The following is a 19267-nucleotide window of genomic DNA, read 5'->3' as shown; positions in this document are numbered from 1 at the left end:
TGTGAGTGACAAACACTCAGAACCAAGCAGTAGTGTTCTGGAATCCTATCTGAGAGATAAACATTCACAACACAGCAGGAGTGTTCTGGAATCCTATGTGAGGTACAATCATTCAGACATTCGTAGCAGTGTTCTGGAATCCTATTTGAGGGAGAAACACTCAGAACCCAGAAGCAGTGTTCTGGAATCCTATGTGAGGGACAATCATTCAGACCACAGCTAAGGTGTTCTGGAATCCTATGTGTGGGACAAATATTTGGACCCTCGTAGCATTGTTCTGCAATCCTGTGTGAGGAAAATACATTCAGAACACAGCAGGGGTGCTCTGGAGTCCAATGTGCGGGACAAACATTCATGCCCTTGTAGCAGTGTTCTGGAATACTATGTAAGGGACAAACTTTTAGACCCATGTAGCAGTGTTCTGGAATCGTAAGTGAGGGACACTCAGAAGCCAACAGCAGTGTTCTGGAATCCTAAGTGAGGGACAAACGTTCAGACATCAGCAGTATTGTTCTGGAATCCTATGTGAAGGAGAATAATTCAAACCCTTGTAGCAGTGTTCTGGAATCCCACGTGAGGGAGAAACACTCAGAACCAGCAGCAGTGTTCCAGAAACCTATGTGAGGGACAATCATTGAGACCACAGCAGGGGTGTTCTGGAGTCCTACGTGTGGAACAAACATTCAGACCCTGTTAGCATTGTCCTTGAATCCTATGTGAGGAAAATACATTCAGAACACTACAGTAGTGTTTTGGAGTCCTCTGTGTGGGAGAAACATTCAGACCCTCGTAGCAGTGTTCTGAAATCGTATGTGAGGGACAAACATTTAGACCCACACAGCAGTGTTCTGGAATCATACATGAGGGACAAACACTCAGAACTCAACAGCAGTGTTCTGGAGTCCTAAGTGAGGGACAAATATTCAGAAAACAGCAGGAATGTTCTGGAATCCTATGTGAGGAACAAACATTCAGACCACAGCAGAAGGGTTCTGCAGTCCCATGTGAGAGACAAACCCTCAGAACCCAGCAGCAGTGTTCTGGAATCTTATCTGGGGACAAACATTCAGACCAGAGCCGGAGTGTTCTGGAATCCTATGTGAGGGAGAAAACCTCAGAACCCAGTAGCTGTGTTCTGGAATCCTATGTGAGGGACAATCATTCAGATCACAGCTGGGGTGTTCTGCAATCCTACTTGTGGGACAAACATTCATACCCTCGTAGTATTCTTCTGGAATCCTACGTATGGAAAAAATATTCAGGACACTGCAGGAGTATTCTGGAGTCATAAGAGCTTGACATACATTCAGACACTTGTAGCAGTGTTCTGAAATCCTATGTGAGAGATAAACATTGAGACCCCAGTAGCAGTGTTATGGAATACTATGTGAGGGAGAAACACTCAGAACCCAGCAGCAGTGTTCTGGAATCCTATGGGAAGGATAATCATTCAGACCACAGCTCGGGTGTTCTGGAATCCTACGTGTGAGACAAACATTCAGACCCTCATAGCACTGTTTTGGAATCCTATGTGAAGAAAATACATTCAGAACACATCAGGATTGTTCTGGAGTCCTATGAGCGGGAGAAACATTCATACCCTCGTAGCAGTGTTCTGCAACCCTATGTGAGTGACCAATATTTAGACCCACATAGCAGTGTTCTGGAATCGTATGTGACGGACAAAAACTCAGAACTCAACAACAGTATTCTGGAATCGTAACTGAGGGACAAACATTCCGACCACAGCAGGAGTGTTCTGCAATCATATGTGAGGGAGAATAATTCAGACCCTCTTAGTATTGTTCTGGAACCCTAAGTGAGGGACAAACATTCAGACCCCAGTGGAAATTTTATGGAATCCTATTTGAGGGACAAACACTGAGACCAGAGCAGGAATGCTTTGGTATCCTATGTGGGGGAGAAACATTCAGACCACAGAAGGATTGTTCTGGAAATCCATGTGAGGCACAAACACCCAGACCACAACAGCAGTACTCTGGAATCCTATGTGAGGGTTAACCATTCACACCTGAGCAGTTGTGTTCTGGAATCCTATATGAGGGAGAAAAATTCAGACCACAGCAGGAGTGTTCTGGAGTGCTATGTGAGAAACAAACATTCAGACCGCAGCAGCAGTGTTCTGGAATCCTATGTGAGGGACAGACACTCAGAACCCAGCAGCAGTGTTCTGGAATCCCATCTGAGGGACAAACATTCAGAGCAGAGCAGGAGTGTTCTGGAATCCTATGTGAGGTACAATCATTCAGACCCTTGTAGCAGTGTTCTGGAATTCTCTGTGAGGAGATACACTGAGAACCCAAAAACAGTGTTCTGGAATCCTTTGAGAGTGAGAGTAATTCAGACCCTCGTTGCAGGGTTCTGGAATCCTATGTGAGAGACAAACATTCAGATCCCTGTAGCAGTGTTCTGGAATCCTATGTGAGGGGGAAAATTTCAGATCCCCGTAGCAGTGTTCCGGAATCCTATATGTGGGAGAAACACTCAGAAACCAGCAGCAGTGTTCTGTAATCCTTTGTGAGAGACAGTCAATCAGACCACTGCTGGGGTGTTCTGGAATACTAAGTGTGGGACAAACATTCAGACCCTCGTAGCATTGTTGTGGAATCCTATGTGAGGAAAATACATTCAGAACACAGCAGGAGTGTTCTGGAGTCCTATGTGCGGGACTAACATTCAGACCCTCATAGCAGTGTTCAGATAGCCTATGTGAGGGACAAACATTTAGACCCACGTAGTTATGTTCTGGAATCGTACGTGAAGGACAAACACTCAGAACCCAACAGCAGTGATCTGGAATCCTAAGTGAGGGACAAATATTCACAACACAGCAAGAGTGTTCTGGAATCCTACTTGACGGGGAAACACTCAGAACGCAGCAGCAATGTTCTGGAATCCTATGTGAGGGACAGTCATTCAGAACACAGCTGGGGTGTTCTGGAATCCTACGTGTGGGACAAACATTCAGACCCTCGTAGCATTGTACTGGAATCCTACGTGAGGAAAATACATTCTGAACACAGCAGGAGTGTTCTGGAGTCCTATTGGGGGAACAAACATTCAGACCCTCTTAGAAGTGTTCTGGAATCCTATGAGAGGGACAAACATTTAGACCCTCTTAGAAGTGTTCTGGAATCCTATGAGAGGGACAAACATTTAGACCCTCTTAGAAGTGTTCTGGAATCCTATGAGAGGGACAAACATTTAGACCCTCTTAGAAGTGTTCTGGAATCCTATGAGAGGGACAAACATTTAGACCCTCTTAGAAGTGTTCTGGAATCCTATGAGAGGGACAAACATTTAGACCCTCTTAGAAGTGTTCTGGAATCCTATGAGAGGGACAAACATTTAGACCCTCTAGTAGCAGTGTCCTCGAATACTATGTGCGGGACAAATATTCAGACTGCAGTAGCAGTGTTCTGGAATCATACGTGAGTGACAATCACTTAGAAACCAACAGCAGTGTCCTGGAATCCTAAGTGAAGGACAAACTTTCAGAAGAAAGCAGGTGTGTTCTGGAATCCTATGTGAGGGGCAGTAATTCAGACCCTCGTAACAGTGTGCTGGAATCCTATGTGAGGGACAAACATTCAGACCCCAGTAGCAGTGTTCTGTATTCCTATTTGAGGGACAAACACACAGACCACAGCAGGAATGCTTTGGAATCCTATAAGAGTGAGTAACATTCAGACCACAGCAGGATTGTTCTGGAAACCCATGTGAGGCACAAACACCCAGACCACAACAGGATTGTTCTGGAATCCTATGTGAGGGATCAACACACAGAACCCAGCAGCAGTGTTCTGGAATCCTATTTGAGGGACAGTCCTGCAGACCACAGCTCTGACGTTCTGGAATCCTACGTGTGGGACAAACATTCAGACCCTTGTAGCATTGTTCTGCAATCCTATGTGAGGAAAATACATTAAGAACACAGCAGGAGTGTTATGGAGTCCTACGGGCAGAACAAACATTGAGACCCTCGCAACAGTGTTCTGGAATAGTTTGTGAGGGACAAACATTTAGACACATGTAGCAGTATTCTGGAATCGTACTTGAGGGAGAAACACTCAGAATCCAACAGCAGTGTTCTGGAATCCTAAGTGAGGGACAAACATTCAGACCACAACAGGAGTGTTCTGAAATCCTATGAGAAGGAGAATAATTCAGACCCTCGTAGAAGTGTTCTGGAATCCTATGTTAGGGACAAACATTCAGACCGCAGTAGCAGTGTTCTGGAATCCCACGTGAGGGATAAACACTCAGACCACAACAAGAATGTTTTGGAATCCTATGTGAGGGAGAAACATTCAGACGACAGCAGGATTATTCTGGAATCCCATATGAGGCACAAACACCCAGACCACAGAAGGAGGGTTCTGGAATCCTTTGTGATGGTCAAACATTCAGACCACAATAGTCATGTTCTGGAACCCAATAGGAGGAAAAAACTTTCAGACCACAACTGGAGTGTTCTGGAATCCTATGTGAGGAACAAACACTCAGACCACAGCAGCAGTGTTCTGGAATCCTACGTGAGAAACAAACATTTAGACTCACGTAGCAGTGTTCTGGCCTCATACGTGAGGGACAGACACTCAGAAACCAATAGCAGTGTTCTGTCATCCTAACTGAGGGACAAACATTCAGACAACAACAGGAATGTTCTGGAATCCTATGGGAGGGAGAAACACTCAGAACTCAGCAGCAGTGATCTGGAATCCTAAGTGAGGGACAAACATTCATACCACAGCACGAGTGTTCCAGAATCCTATGTAAGGAAGAATAATTCAGACCCTCGGATCAGTGTTCTGGACTCCTATGTGAGGGACAAACATTCAGAACCCAGTAGCAGTGTTCTGGAATCCTATGTGAGGGACAAGCACTCAGAACCCAGCAGCAAGGTTCTGGAATCCTATGTGAGGGACAGTCACTCAGACCACCCCTGGGGTGGTCTGCAATCCTACGTGTGGGTCAAGCATTCAGACCCTCGTAGCATTGTTCTAGAATTTTATGCTAGGAAAATACATTCAGAAAACAGCAGGAGTGTTCTGAAGTCCTACGTGTGGTGCAAACATTCAGACCCTCGTAGCAGTGTTCTGGAGTCCTATGTGCCTGGGAAACATTCAGACCCTCATAGCAGTGTTCTGGAATCCTATGTGAGGGACAAGCATTTGGACCCACGCAGCAGTGTTCTGCAATCGTACGCGAGGGAGAAACTCTCAGAATCCAACAGCAGAGTTCTGTAATCCTAAGTGAGGGACAAACGTTCATACAACAGCAGGAGTGTTCTGGAATCCTAAGTGAGGAACAAACATTCAGACTCCTGCCGGTGTGTTCTGGAATCCTATGAGAGGGAGAATAATTTAAACACTCCTAGCAGTGTTCTGGAATCCTACGTGATGGACCAACATTCAGACAACAGCAGGAGTGTTCTGGAATCCTACGTGTGGGAAAAAATATTCAGATCCTTGTAGCAGTGTTCTGGAATCCTATGTGAGGGTCAAACATTTAGATCCACGTAACAGTGCTGTGGAATTTTATGTCAGGGACAAACACTCAGAACCCACAGAAGTGTTCTGGAGTCCTAAGTGAGGGACAAACATTCAGTCCACAGCAGGAGTGTTATGGAATCCTATGTGAGGGAGAATAATACAGACACAAGTAGCAGTGTCCTGGAATCGTATGTGAGGGACAAACACCCAGAACTGAACAGCCGTGTTCTGGAATCCGAAGTGAAGTACAAACATTTAGACCACAGCAGGAGTTTTCTCGAATCCTATGTGAGGGAGAATAATTCAGATGCTCGTAGCAGTGTTCTGGAATCCTATCTGAGGGAAAAATATTCATAACACAGCACGAGTGTTCTGCAATCCTATGTGTGGGACAAATATTCAGACCACAGCAGGAGTGCTCAGCAATCCTATCTGAGGGACAAACATTCAGAACACAGCAGAAGTGTTCTGGAATCCTATGTGGAGGACAAACATTCAGATCCTCACAGCAGTGTTCTGGAATCCTGCGTGCGGGAGAAATAGTGAGACAATAGTAGCAGTGTTCTGGAATCCTATGTTAGGGACAAACATTGAAACAACAGCGGGTGTGTTCTGGAATTGTAAGCAGATGACAAACACTCAGACCCTCGTAGCAGTGTTCTTGAATACTATGTGAGGGACAAACATTCAGAACCCAGCAGCAGTGTTCTGGAACCCTATGTGAGGGACAAACATTCAGGCCACAGAGTGACTCTTCTGGAATCCTATCTGAGGTACAAACACTCAGAACACAGCAGTAGTGTTGTGGAATATTATGTAACGGACAAACATTCAGACCCTCGTAGTAGTGTTCTGGAATCCTAAGTGAGGGATGAACATTCAGACAATCGTAGAAGTGTTCTGCAATATTATGTGAGGGACAAACATTCAGACCTTCATAGCAGTGTTCTGGAATCCTATGTGAGGGACAAACTTTCAGACCCCAACATAAGTGTTCTTGAGTCCTATATGGGGGACAAACATTGAGATACCAAGAGGAGTATTCTGGAATCTTTTGTGAGGGATAAAAATAGAGACCACAGCAGGAATGTTCTGGAATGCTATGTGAGCAACAATCAATGAGACCCTAGCAGCAGTGTTCTTTGGTCATATGTGAGGCACAAACATTCAGACCCCAGCAGCAGTGTTCTGGAACACTATGTGAGGGACAAACATTCAGACAATCGTAGCACTGTTCTGGAATCCTATGTGAGGGACAAACATTAAGACTCCAGCTTCAGTGTTGTGGAATCCTATGTGAGGAACCAAAGTTCAAACAACAGCGGGAGTGTTCTGGAATCTTATGTAACGGAGAAATAGTCAGACCCTCGTCGCAGTGTTCTGGAGTTCTATGTGAGGGAGAAACACTCAGAACCCAGCAAAAGCGTTCTTGAATTCTATGGGACTGACATTCATATAGACCCCAACAGCAGTGTTCTGGAATCCTATTTGAGGGACAAACATTAAAACCCCAGAAGCAGTGTTCTGGAATCCTATGTGAGGGACAATCATTCAGACCCTCGTAACAGTGTTTTGGAATTCTGTGTGAGGGACAAACATTCATATGCTCATAGCAGTGTTCTAGAATCTAATGTGAGGAACAAACGTTCAGACCACAAGAGGAATGTTCTGGAATTCCCTGTGAGGAACAAGCATTCAGACCCTCGTAACAGTGTTCTGGAATCCTATGTGACAGAAAAACATTTAGACCCCTGCAGCAGTGTTCTGGAGTCCTATCTGAGGGACAAATATTCAGACAATCGAAGCAGTGTTCTGGAATCCTATGTGGGGGACAAACATTCGGACCCTTGTAGCAGGGTTCTGGAATCCTATGTGAAAGACAAACTTTCAGACCCCAGCATCAGTGTTATTGATTCCTATGTGATGGACAAACATTGAGACCCCAGCGGGAGTGATCGGGAATCTTTTGTGAGGGACAAAAATTCAGACCACAGCAGAAGTGTTCTGGAATGCTATGTGAGCAACAAACATTCAGAACGTAGCAGCAGAGTTCTTTGGTCATATGTGTGGAAAAAACATTGAGACCCCATCAGCAGTGTTCTGGAATCCTATGTGAGTTAAAAACATTCAGACAATCATAACCATGTTCTGGAATCCTATGTGAGGGACAAACATTCAGACCGCAGCAGCAGTGTTCTGGATTTCTAGGCGAGGGATAAACATTCAAACAACAGCGGGAGTGTTCTGGAATCCTACGTAACGGAAAAAGGTTCAGACCCTCATCGCAGTGTTATGGAGTTATATGTGAGGGAGAAACACTCAGAACCCAGCAGCAGTGTTCTGGAATCCTATGTGATGGACACACATGGAGAACCCAGCAGCAGTGTTCTGGATTCCTATGTGAAGGACAAACATTCAGTCCCCGGCAGCAGTGCTCTGGTTTCCTATGTGAGGGACAATCATTCAGACACTCGTAGCAGTGTTCTGGAATTCTGTGTTAGGGACAACCATTGAGAACCTCGTAGCAGTGTTCTGGAATCCTGTGTGTGGGATAAACATTGAGACCACAGCAGGAGTGTTCTGGAGTCCTAAGTCAGGTTCCAACATTCAGACCCTAGCAGCAGTGTTCTGGAAGCCCCTCTGAGGGACAAACATTCGGACCCTTGTAGCAGTGTTCTGGAATCCTATGTGAGGGAGAAACACTCAGAACCCAGCACCATTGTTCTGAAATCCTATGTGAGGGAGAATCATTCAGACCCCAGTAGCAGTGTTCTGGAATCCTATGTGAGGGACAAACATTGAGACCCACGTAGCCGTGTTCTATAATCGTATGTGGGGGATAAACTCTCAGAACCAAACAGCAGTTCTCTGGAATCCTAAGTGAGGGAAAAACATTCTGAGCCCAGCAGGAGTGTTATGGAATACTATGTGAGGGACAAACATTCAGACTGCAGCAGGATTGTTCTGGAAGTGTATGCAAGGGAGAAACACTCAGAACCCAGCAGCAGTGTTCTGGAGTCCTATGTGAGGAACAATCTTACAGACCACAGCTGTGGTGCTTTGGAATCCTATGTGTGAGACAAACATTCAGACCCTCGTAGCATTGTTCTGGAATCTATGTGAGGAAAATACATTCAGAACAGAGAACGAGAGATCTGGAGTCCTATGTGCTGGACAAACATTCAGATCCTCGTAGCAGTGTCATGGAATCCTATGTGAGTGACAAACATTTAGACCCACGTTGCAGTGTTCTGGAATCGTACGTGAGGGACATACACTCAGAACACAACAGCAGTGTTCTGGAATCCTAAGTGAGGGACAAACATTCAGACCACAGCAGGAGTGTTCTGGAATCCTATGTGAGGGAGAATAATTCAGAAACTCTTAGTAGTGTTCCAGAATCCTATGTGAGGAACAAACACTCAGAACCCTGTAGCAGTGTTCTGGAATCCTTTCAGAGGGTCAAAAATTCAGAAGAGAGCAGGAGAATTCTGGAATCCTATGTGAGGTTCACTCATTCACACCCTCATAGCATTGTTCTGGAATCCTATGTGAGAGACAAACACTCAGAACCCAGTAGCAGTGTTCTGGAATCCTATGTGAGGGAGATACATTCAGACCACAGCAGGAGTTTTCTGGAATCCTATGTGAGGGAGAGACACTCAGAACCCAGCAGCAGTGTTCTGGAATCCTATGTGAGGGACAATCATTCTGACCACAGCTGGGTGTTCTGGAATCCTTCGTGTGGGACAAACATTCATACCTTCATAGCATTGTTCTTTAATCTTATATGAGGAAAATACATTCAGAACACTGCAGGAATGTTCTGGAGTCCTAGGTGAGGGAGAAACATTCAAACCCTCCTAGCAGTGTTCTGGATTCCTATGTGAGGTACAAACATTTAGACCTACTTAGCAGTGTTCTGGAATCATACATTAAGGGCAAACACTGAGAACCCAACAACTGTGTTCTGGAATCCTAAGTGAGGGACAAACATTCAAACCACAAGAGGAGTGTTCTGGAATGCTACGTGAGGGAGAATTATTCAGACCCTCCTAGCAGTGTTCTGGAATCCTAAGTGAGGGCAAACATTCCGACCCCAGTAGCAGTGTTCTTGAATCCTATTTGAGGGACAAACACTCACACCACAGCAGGATGGTTCTGGAATCCCTTGTGAGGCATGAACACCCAGACCACAGCAGAAGTGTTCTGGAATCCTGTGAGAGAGTCAACTATTCAGACCACAGCAGTAGAGTTCTGGAATCCTACATGTGGGACAAACATTCAGACAACAGCAGGAGAGTTCTGGAATCCTATGTGAGGAAAAAGCATTCAGTCCACAGCAGGAGTGCTCTGGAATCCTATGTGAGGGACAATCATTCAGACAACAGCTGGGGTGTTCTGGAATCCTACGTCTGGGACAAACTTTCAGAGCCTTGTAGCATTCGTGTGGAATCCTATGTCAGGAAAATATGTTGAGAACACAGCAGCAGCGTTCTGGAGTCCTTTGTGTGGGACAAACATTCAGACTCTAGTAGCTGTGTTCTGGAATCCCATGTGATCGAGAAACATTTAGACCCACGTAGCAGTGTTATGGAATCATACCTGAGGGACAAACACTCAGAACTCAACAGCAGTATTCTGGAATCCTAAGTGAGTTGCAAACATTCAGACTACAGCAGGAGTGTTCTGGAATCCTATGTGAGGGAGAAACATTCAGAACACAGCAGCAGTGTTCTGGAATCCTACGTGAGGGACAATCATTCAGACCACAGCAGTAGTGTTCTGCAATCCTACCTGTGGGACAAACATTCACACCCTCGTAGCATTGTTCTGGTATCCAATGTGAGGAAAATACATTCAGAACACAGCAGGAGTTTTCTGGAGTCCTCTGTGTGGGACAAACATTCAGACCCTAATAGCTGTGTTCTGCAATCCTATGTGATCGACAAGCATTTGGACCCACGTAGCAGTGTTCTGGAATTATAACTGAGGGACAAACACTCAGAGCCTAACAGCAGTGTTCTGGAATCCCATGTGAGGGAGAAACATTCAGAACCCAGGAGCAATATTCCAGAATCCTATGTGAGGGACAATCATTCAGACCACCGATGGGATGTTCTGGAATCCTACGTGTGGGACAGACATTCAGACCCTCGTAGCATTGTTCTGATATCCTATGTGAGGAAAATGCATTTGGAACACAGCAGGAGTGTTCTGGAGTCCTATGTGTGAGACAAACATTCAGAACCTCATAGCAGTGTTCTGGAAACCTATGTGGGGGACAAACCCTGAAACCCACATAGCCGTGATCTAGAATTGTATGTGAGGGACAAACACTCAGAACCCAACAGCAGTGTTCTGGAATCCTAAGTGAGAGACAAGGATTCAGACTACAGCAGGAAAGTTCTGGAATCCTATGTGAGGGAGAATAATTCAGACCCTTGTAGTAGTGTTCTGGAATCCTATGTGAATGAAAGACATTCAGACCGCAGTAGCAATGTTCTGGAATCATGAGGGAGAAACACTCAGAACCCAGCATCAGTGTTCTGTAATCCTATGTGAGGGACAATCATTCACACTACAGCTGGGGTGTTCGAGAATCCTACGTGTGGGACAAACATTCAGACCCTCGTAGCATTGTTCTGGAGTCCTATCTGAGGAAAATACTTTCAAAATACAGCAGTTGTGTTCTGGAGCTCTATGTGGGGGACAAACATTCAGACTCTCATAGCAGTGTTCTGGAATACTATGTAAGGGACAAACATTTACACCCAGGTAACAGTGTTGTGGAATCGTACATGAGGGACAAAAACTAAGAACCATATAGCAGTGTTCTGGAATCCTAAGAGAGGGCCAAACATTCAGAACATACCAGGAGTGTTCTGGAATCCTATGTGAGGGAAAATAATTCAGAGCATCGTAGCAGTGTTCTGGAATCTTACGTGAGGGACAAACATTTAGGCCCCAGTAGCAGTTTTCTGGAATCCTATGGGACAAACATTTAGACCCCAGTAGCAGTTTTCTGGAATCCTATGTGAGGGAGAAATGCTGAGAACCCAGCAGCAGTGTTCTGGAATTCCAAGTGAGGTACAAACATTCAGACCACAGCAGGGGTGTTATGGAATCCTATGTGAGGCAGAAACATTCAGATCACAGAAGGATTGTTCTGGAATCCCATATTAGGCACAAACACCAAGACCACAGCAGGAGTGTTCTGGAATCCTATGTGAGGGTCAACCATTCAGACCACAGCAGGAGTGTTCTGGAATCCTATGTGAGGGTCAACCATTCAGACCACAGCAGTAGTGTTCTGCAATGTTCTATGAGGGACAAACATTCAGACCACAGCAGGTGTGCTCTGGAATCCTATGTGAGGAACAAACATTCAGACCACAGCAGGTGTGCTCTGGAAACCTATGTGAGAAACAAACATTCAGACCACAGCATCAGTGTTCTGGAATCCTATGTGAGGGACCAACACTCAGAACCCAGCAGCACTGTTTGGAATCCTATCTGAGGGGAAAACATTCAAACCACTGTAGGAGTGTTCTGGAATCCTATGTGAGGTACAATCATTAAGACCCTCGTAGCAGTGTTCTGGATTCCCATGTGAGGGAGAAACACTCAGAACCTAGCAGCAGTGTTCTGGAATCCTATGTGAGGGACAGTAATTCAGACCACAGCTTGGGTGTTCTGCAATCCTATGTGAGGGACAAACATTCAGACCCTCTTAGCATTTTTCTGGAATCCTATGTGAGGAAAATACATTCAGAATACAGCAGGAGTGTTCTGGAGTCCTATGTGTGGGACATATATTCAGATCCTCGTAGCAGTGTTCTGGAATCCTATGTGAGTTACGAATATTTAGACCCACATATCAGTGTTCTGGAATCCTATTGGAGGGACAAACACTCAGACTACAGAAGGAATGTTCTGGAATCCTATGTGAGGGAGAGTAATTCGGACCCTCGTTGCAATGTTATGGAATCCTATGTGAAGGACAAACATTCAGACCCCAGTAGCAGTGTTCTGGAATCCTATTTGAGGGACAAACAGTCAGACCACAGCAGGAATGTTTTGGAATCCTATGTGAGGGTGAACCATTGAGACCACAGCAGTAGTGTTCTCGTATCCTATATGAAGGACAATCATTTAGACCCATGTAGCAGTGTTCTGCAATCCTAACACTAAGATTAACACAAACACTAAATCCCAACAGCAGTGTTCTGTAATCCTAAGTGAGGAAAAAACATTCAGACCACAGCAGGAGTGTTCTGGAATCCTATGTGAGGGTGATTAATTCAGACACTCGTATCAGTGTTCTGGAATCCTATGTGAGGGACAAACATTCAGACCCCAGTAGCAGTGTTCTGGAATCTTATGTGAGGAAGAAACAGTCAGAATCCGGCAGCAGTGCTCTGGAATCCTTTGTGAGGGACAATCATTCAGACCACAGAGGATTGGTCTGGAATCCTACGTTTGGAACAAACATTCAGACCCTCGTAGCATTGTTTTGGAATCCTATGTGAGGAAAATACATTCAGAACACAGCAGGAGTGTTCTGGATTCCTATGTGCGGGAGACACATTCAAACACTTGTAGCAGTGTTCTGGAATCCTATGTGACAGACAAACATTTAGACCCACATAGAAGTGTTCTGAAATCGTACGTGAAGCACAAACACTCAAAACAGAGCAGTTGTGTTCTGGAATCCTATCTGAGGAACAAACATTCAGACCAGAGCAGGAGTGTTCTGGAATCCTATGTGAGGTACAATCATTCAGACACTCGTAACATTGTTCTGGAAACGTATATGAGGAGAATACATTCAGAACACAGCAGGAGTGTTCTGGAGTCCCATAAGCGGGGCAAACATTCATACCCTCGTAGCTAAGTTCTGGAATCCTATGTGAGGGACAAACATTTAAACCCACATAGCAGTGTTCTGGAATCATACGTCAGGGATAAACACTCAGAACCCAACAGCAGTGTTCTGGAATACAAAGTGAGGGACCAACATACAGACCACAGCAGGAGTGTTCTGGAAAACTATGTGAGGGAGAAAAATTCAGACCCTTGGAGCAGTTTTCTGGAATCCTTTGTGAGGGACAAACATTTAGAGAACCCAGTAGCAGTGTTCTGGAACCCTATGTGAGGGAGAAACAATAAGAACCCAGCAGCAGTGCTCTCGAAACCTATGTGAGGGACAATCATTCAGACCACAGCTGTGGTGTTCTGGAATCCTACCAGTGGGACAACCATTCAGACCCTTCCATTGTTATGGAATCCTATGAGAGGAAAATACATTCATAACACAGCAGGAGAGTTCTTGAGTCCTATGTGTGGGACAAACATTCAGACCCTCGTAGCAGTGTTCTGTAATCCTATGTGAGGGACAGACATTTAGACCCACATAGCAGTATTCTGGAATCGTTTGTGAGGGACAAACACTCAGAACCCAACAGCAGTGTTCTGTAATCCGAAGTGAAGAACAAACATTCAGACCACAGCAGGAGTGTTCTGGTATCCTATGTGAGGGAAAATACTTCAAACCCTGGTAGCAATGTTCTGGAATCCTATGTGAGGGACAAATTTTCAGACCCCAGTAGCAGTGTTCTAGAATACTACTTGAGGAACAAACACTTAGACCACAGCAGGAATGTTCTGCAATCCTATGTGAGGGAGAAACATACAGACCACAGCAGGATTGCTCTGGAATCTCATGTGAGGCACAAACAGCCAGACCACAGCAGGATTGTTCTGGAATACTATGTGTGGTACAACCATTCAGACCACAGGAGTAGTGTTCTGGAATCCTACATGAGGGACAAACATTCAGAGAGTACAGGAGTGTTCTGGAATCATATGGGAGGAACAAACATTCAGACCACAGCAGCGCTTTTTTGGAATCCTATGTGAGGGACAAACACTCAGAACCCAGCAGCAGTGTTCTGGAATCTTATCTGAGAGACAAACATTCAGACCAGAGCAGGGGCGTTCTGGAATCCTATGTGAGGTACAATCATTCAGACCCTCGTAGCAGTGTTCTGGAATCCGATGTGAGGGAGAAACACTCAGAATCCAGCAGCAGTGTTCTGGAATTCTATGTAAGGGACATTCATTCAGACCACAGGTGGGTTATTCTGCAGTCCTTCGTGTGTGACAAACATTCAGACCCTGGTAGCATTGTTCTGGAATCTCATGTGAGAAAAATTATTCAGAACACAGCAGGAGTGTTCTGGAGACCTATGTGCGGGAGAGACATTCAGACCCTCGTAGCAGTGTTGTGGAATCCTATGTGAAGGAGAAACTTTTGGATCCACGTGACAGTGTTCTGGAATCGTACGTGAGGAACACTCAGAACCCAACAGCAGTGTTCTGTAATCCTAAGTGAGGGACAAACATTCAGGCCACAGCCACAGTGTTCTGGAATCCTATCTGAGGGAGAAACACTCAGAACCAAGCAGCAGTGATCTGGAATCCTATGTGAGGGACAAACATTCAGACCACAGCAGGAGTGTTCTGGAATCCTATGTTAGGGAGAATAATTCAGATCCTTTTAGCAATTTCCTGAAATCCGACGTGAGGGACAAACATTCAGACACCAGTAGCAGTTTTCTGGAATCCTATGTGAGGGAGAAACACTCAGAACCCAACAGCAGTTTTCCGGAATCCTATGTGAGGGACAATCATTCAGAACACAGCTGGGACGTTTTGGAATCCTGCATATCGGACAAACATTCAAACCCTCATAGCATTGTTCTGGAATCCTAAGTGAGGAAAATATTTTCAGAAAACAGCAGATGTTTTCTGGAGTCCTGTGGGTGGGACAACATTCAGACCCTCGTAGCAGTGTTCTGGAATCCTATGTGAGAGAAAAACATTTAGACCCACGTAGCAGTGTTCTGGACTAGTATGTAAGTGAGAAATACACAGAACCCAACAACAGTGTTCTCGAATCGTAAGTGAGGGACAAACATTCAGACAACAGGTGGAGTGTTCTGGAATCCGATGGGATGGGGAATAATTAAGACACCCGTAGCAGTGTTCTGGAATCCTATGTGAGGGGCAAACATTCAGACCTTCATAGCAGTGTTCTGGAATCCTGTGTGACGGACAAACATTTAGAATCAAGTAGCAGTGTTCTGTAATCAAAGGTGAGGGACAAACACTCAGAACCCAACAGCAGTGTTCTAGAATCCTCAGTGAGCGACAAACATTCAGACCACAGCAGGAGAGTTCTGGAACCCTATGTGAGGGACAAACATTCAGACACTCATAGCAGTGTTCTGGAATCCTATGAGAGGGACAAACATTTAGACCCACGTACCAGTGTGCTGGAATAGTACGTGAGGGACAAACACTCAGAACACAACAGCAGTGTTCTGGAATCCTAAGTGAGGGACATTCAGATGATGGCAGGAGTGTTCTGGAATCCTATGTGAGGGAGAATAATTCAGAACCTCGTAGCAGTGCTCTGGAATCCTATGTGAGGGACAAACTTTCAGACCCCAGCAGCAGTGTTCTGAAATCCTATGTGAGAGAGAACCTCTCAGAAACCAGCAGCAGTTTTCCAGAATCTTATATGAAGGCCAATCATTCAGACGATAGCTGGGGTGTTCTGGAAACCTAACTGTGGGACAAACATTCAGACCCTCGTAGCGGTGTTCGGGAATCCTATCTGAGGGACAAACATTTAGAGACACGTAGCAGTGGTCTGGAATCGTAAATGAGGGACAAACACTCAGAACCCAACAGCAGTATTCTGGAAACCTAAGTGAGAGACACGCATTCAGACAACAGCAAGAGTGTTCTGGATTCCTATGTGAGGGAGAAACACTCAGAACCCAGCGTCATTGTTCTGGATCCTATGTGAGAGACCATCAGAAAGATCACAGCTGGTGGGTTCTGGAATCCAAGTTTGGGACAAAGATTCAGACCCTCGTAGCATTGTTCTGGAGTCCTGTGTGAGGGACAAACATTTAGACCCACGTGGCAGGGTTCTGGAATCGTACATGAGGGACAAACACTCAGAACCCAACAGCAGTGTTCTGGAATCCTCAGTGAGGGATAAACATTCAGACGACAACAGGAGTGTTCTGGAATCCTATATGATGGAGAATAATTCAGACCCTTGTAGCAGTGTTCTGGAATCCTATGTGAGGGAGAAACTTTCAGACCACAGTAGCAGTGTTCTGGAATCCTATTTGTGGGAGAAACACTCAGAAAACAGCAGGAATGTTTTGGAACCTATGTGAGGGAGAAACATTCAGACCACAGCAGGATTCTGGTCAACAATTCAGACCAAGGCAGTAATGTTCTGGATTCCTATATGAGGGACAATCGTTCAGACCATAGCAGGTGAGTTCTGGAGTCCTATGCGAGGAACAAACATTTTGAACACAGCAGCAGTGTTCTGGAATCCTATTTGAGGGACAAACGTGCAGAACCTAAGAGCAGTGATCTGGAATCCTATCTGTGGGACAAATATTCAGAACGGAGCAGGAGGGTTCTGGAATACTATGTGAGGTACAATCATTCAGAACCTCGTAGCAGAGTTCTGGAGTCCTATGTGAAGGAGAAACACTCAGAACCCAGCAGCAGTGTTCGGGAATCCAATGTGAGGGACGATCTTTCAGACCACAGCTGTGGTGTTCTGGATTCCTAAGTGTGGGACAAACATTCAGACCCTCTTAGCATTGTTCTGGAATTTTATGTGAGGTAAATACATTCAGAACACAGAAGGAGATTTCTGGAGTCCATTGTGCGGGACAAACATTCAGAACCTCACAGCAGTATTCTGCAATCCTATGTGAGGGATAAACATTTAAACCCACGGAACAGTGTTCTGGAATCTTACATAAGGGACAAACACTCAGAACCCAACAGCAGTGTCCTAGAATCCCAAGTGAGGGACAAACATTCAGACCACAGCAGGAATCTTCTGGAATCCTATGTGAGGGAGAATAATTCAGACACTCGTAGCAGTGTTCTGGAATCCTATGTGAGGGACAAACATTCAGACCACAGCAGTAGTGTTCTGGAATCCTATGTGAGGGAGAAACACTCACAACTGAGCAGCAGTGTTCTGGAATCCTATGGGAGGGACAATCATTCAGATCACACCTGGGGTGCTCTGAAATCCTACATGTGAAAGAAACATTCACACGCTAGTAGCGTTGTTCTGGAATCCTGTGTGAGTAAAATACTTTCAAAACACAGCAGGAGTGTTCTGGAAGCCTATATGCGGGATATAAATGCAGTCCACAGTAGCAGTGTTCTGGAATCCTATGTGAGGCAAACACTCAGTACCCAAGGGCAGGGATCTGGAATCCTCAGTGAGGGACAAACATTCTGACCACAACAGGAGAGTTCTGGAAACCTATTTGAGGGAGAAAGCTTCAGAACCCAGCAGCAGTGTTCTGGAGTCCTATGTGTGGGACAATCATTCAGAAAACCGCTAGGGTGTACTAGAATCCTAAGTGTGGAACAAAGATTCAGAACCTTGTAGCATTGTTCGGGACTTCTATGTGAATAAAATACATTCAGAACACAGCAGGAGTGTTCTGTAGTCTTATATGAAGAAAAAGCATTCAGTCCTTCATAGCACGGTTCTGGAATCCTATGTGAGGGACAAACATTTAGACTCATGTAGAATTGTTCTGTAACCCTACGTGAGGGACACTCAGAACCCAACAGCAGTGTTCTGGATTCCTAAGTGAGCGACAAACATTCAGACCACAGAAGGAGTGTTCTGTAATCCTATGTGAGGGAGAAACACTCAGAACCCATAAGCCATGTTCTGGAATCCTATGTAAGAGACAATCATCCAGACCATTGTAACATTGTTCTGGAATCCTATGTGAGAAAAACACCTTCAAAACACAGCAGTAGTATTCTGGAGATCTATGTGCGAGACAAACATACAGACCCTCGAAACAGTGTTCTGGAATCCTAGGTAAGGGAAAAACATTTAGACCCACATAGCAGTCTTCTGGAATCGTACGTGAGGAACAAACATTCCGAACCCAACAACAGTGTTCTGGAATCTTAAGTGAGGGACAAACATTCAGACCACAGCAGGAGTGTTCTGGAATCCCATGTGTGGGAGAATAATTGAGACCCTTGTAGCAGTGTTCTCGAATCCTATCTGAGGGAAAAAAATTCAGACCCCAGTAGCAGTGTTATGGAATCCTCAGTGAGGGAGAAACACTCAGAACCCAGCAGCAGTGTTCTGGAATCCTATGTGTTGGACAATCATTCAGACCACAGCTGGGGTGTTCTGGATCCCTAGGTGTGGGACAAACATTCAGACCCTCGTAGTAATGTTCTGGAATCCTATGTGAGGAAGAACATTCAGAAGACAGCAGGAGTGTTGTGGAGTCCTATGTGTGGGACAAACATTCAGACCCTCGTAGCAGTGCTCTGGAATCCTACGTGAGGAACAAACTTTCAGACCACAGTAGAAGTATTCTGGAATCCTATTTGTGGGACAAACACTCAGACCACAGCAGGAATGTTTTGGAATCCTATGTGAGGGAGAATCATGCAGACCACAGCAGGATTGTTCTGGAATCCCACGTAAGGCACAAACACCCAGACCACAACAGGAGTGTTCTGGAATCCTATGTAAGGGTCAACCTTTCAGAACACAGCAGCAGTGTTCTGGAATCCTATAGGAGGGACAAACATTCAGACCACAGCAAGAGAGTTCTGGAATCCTATGTGAGGAACAAACATTCAGGCCA

This window comes from Homo sapiens, unplaced genomic scaffold (genome assembly GCF_000001405.40).
Source record: "Homo sapiens unplaced genomic scaffold, GRCh38.p14 Primary Assembly HSCHRUN_RANDOM_CTG17".
NCBI lineage: Eukaryota > Metazoa > Chordata > Mammalia > Primates > Hominidae > Homo > Homo sapiens.
The sequence above is the reverse complement of the archived record's forward strand: the minus strand, read 5'-3'. Positions refer to the sequence as shown.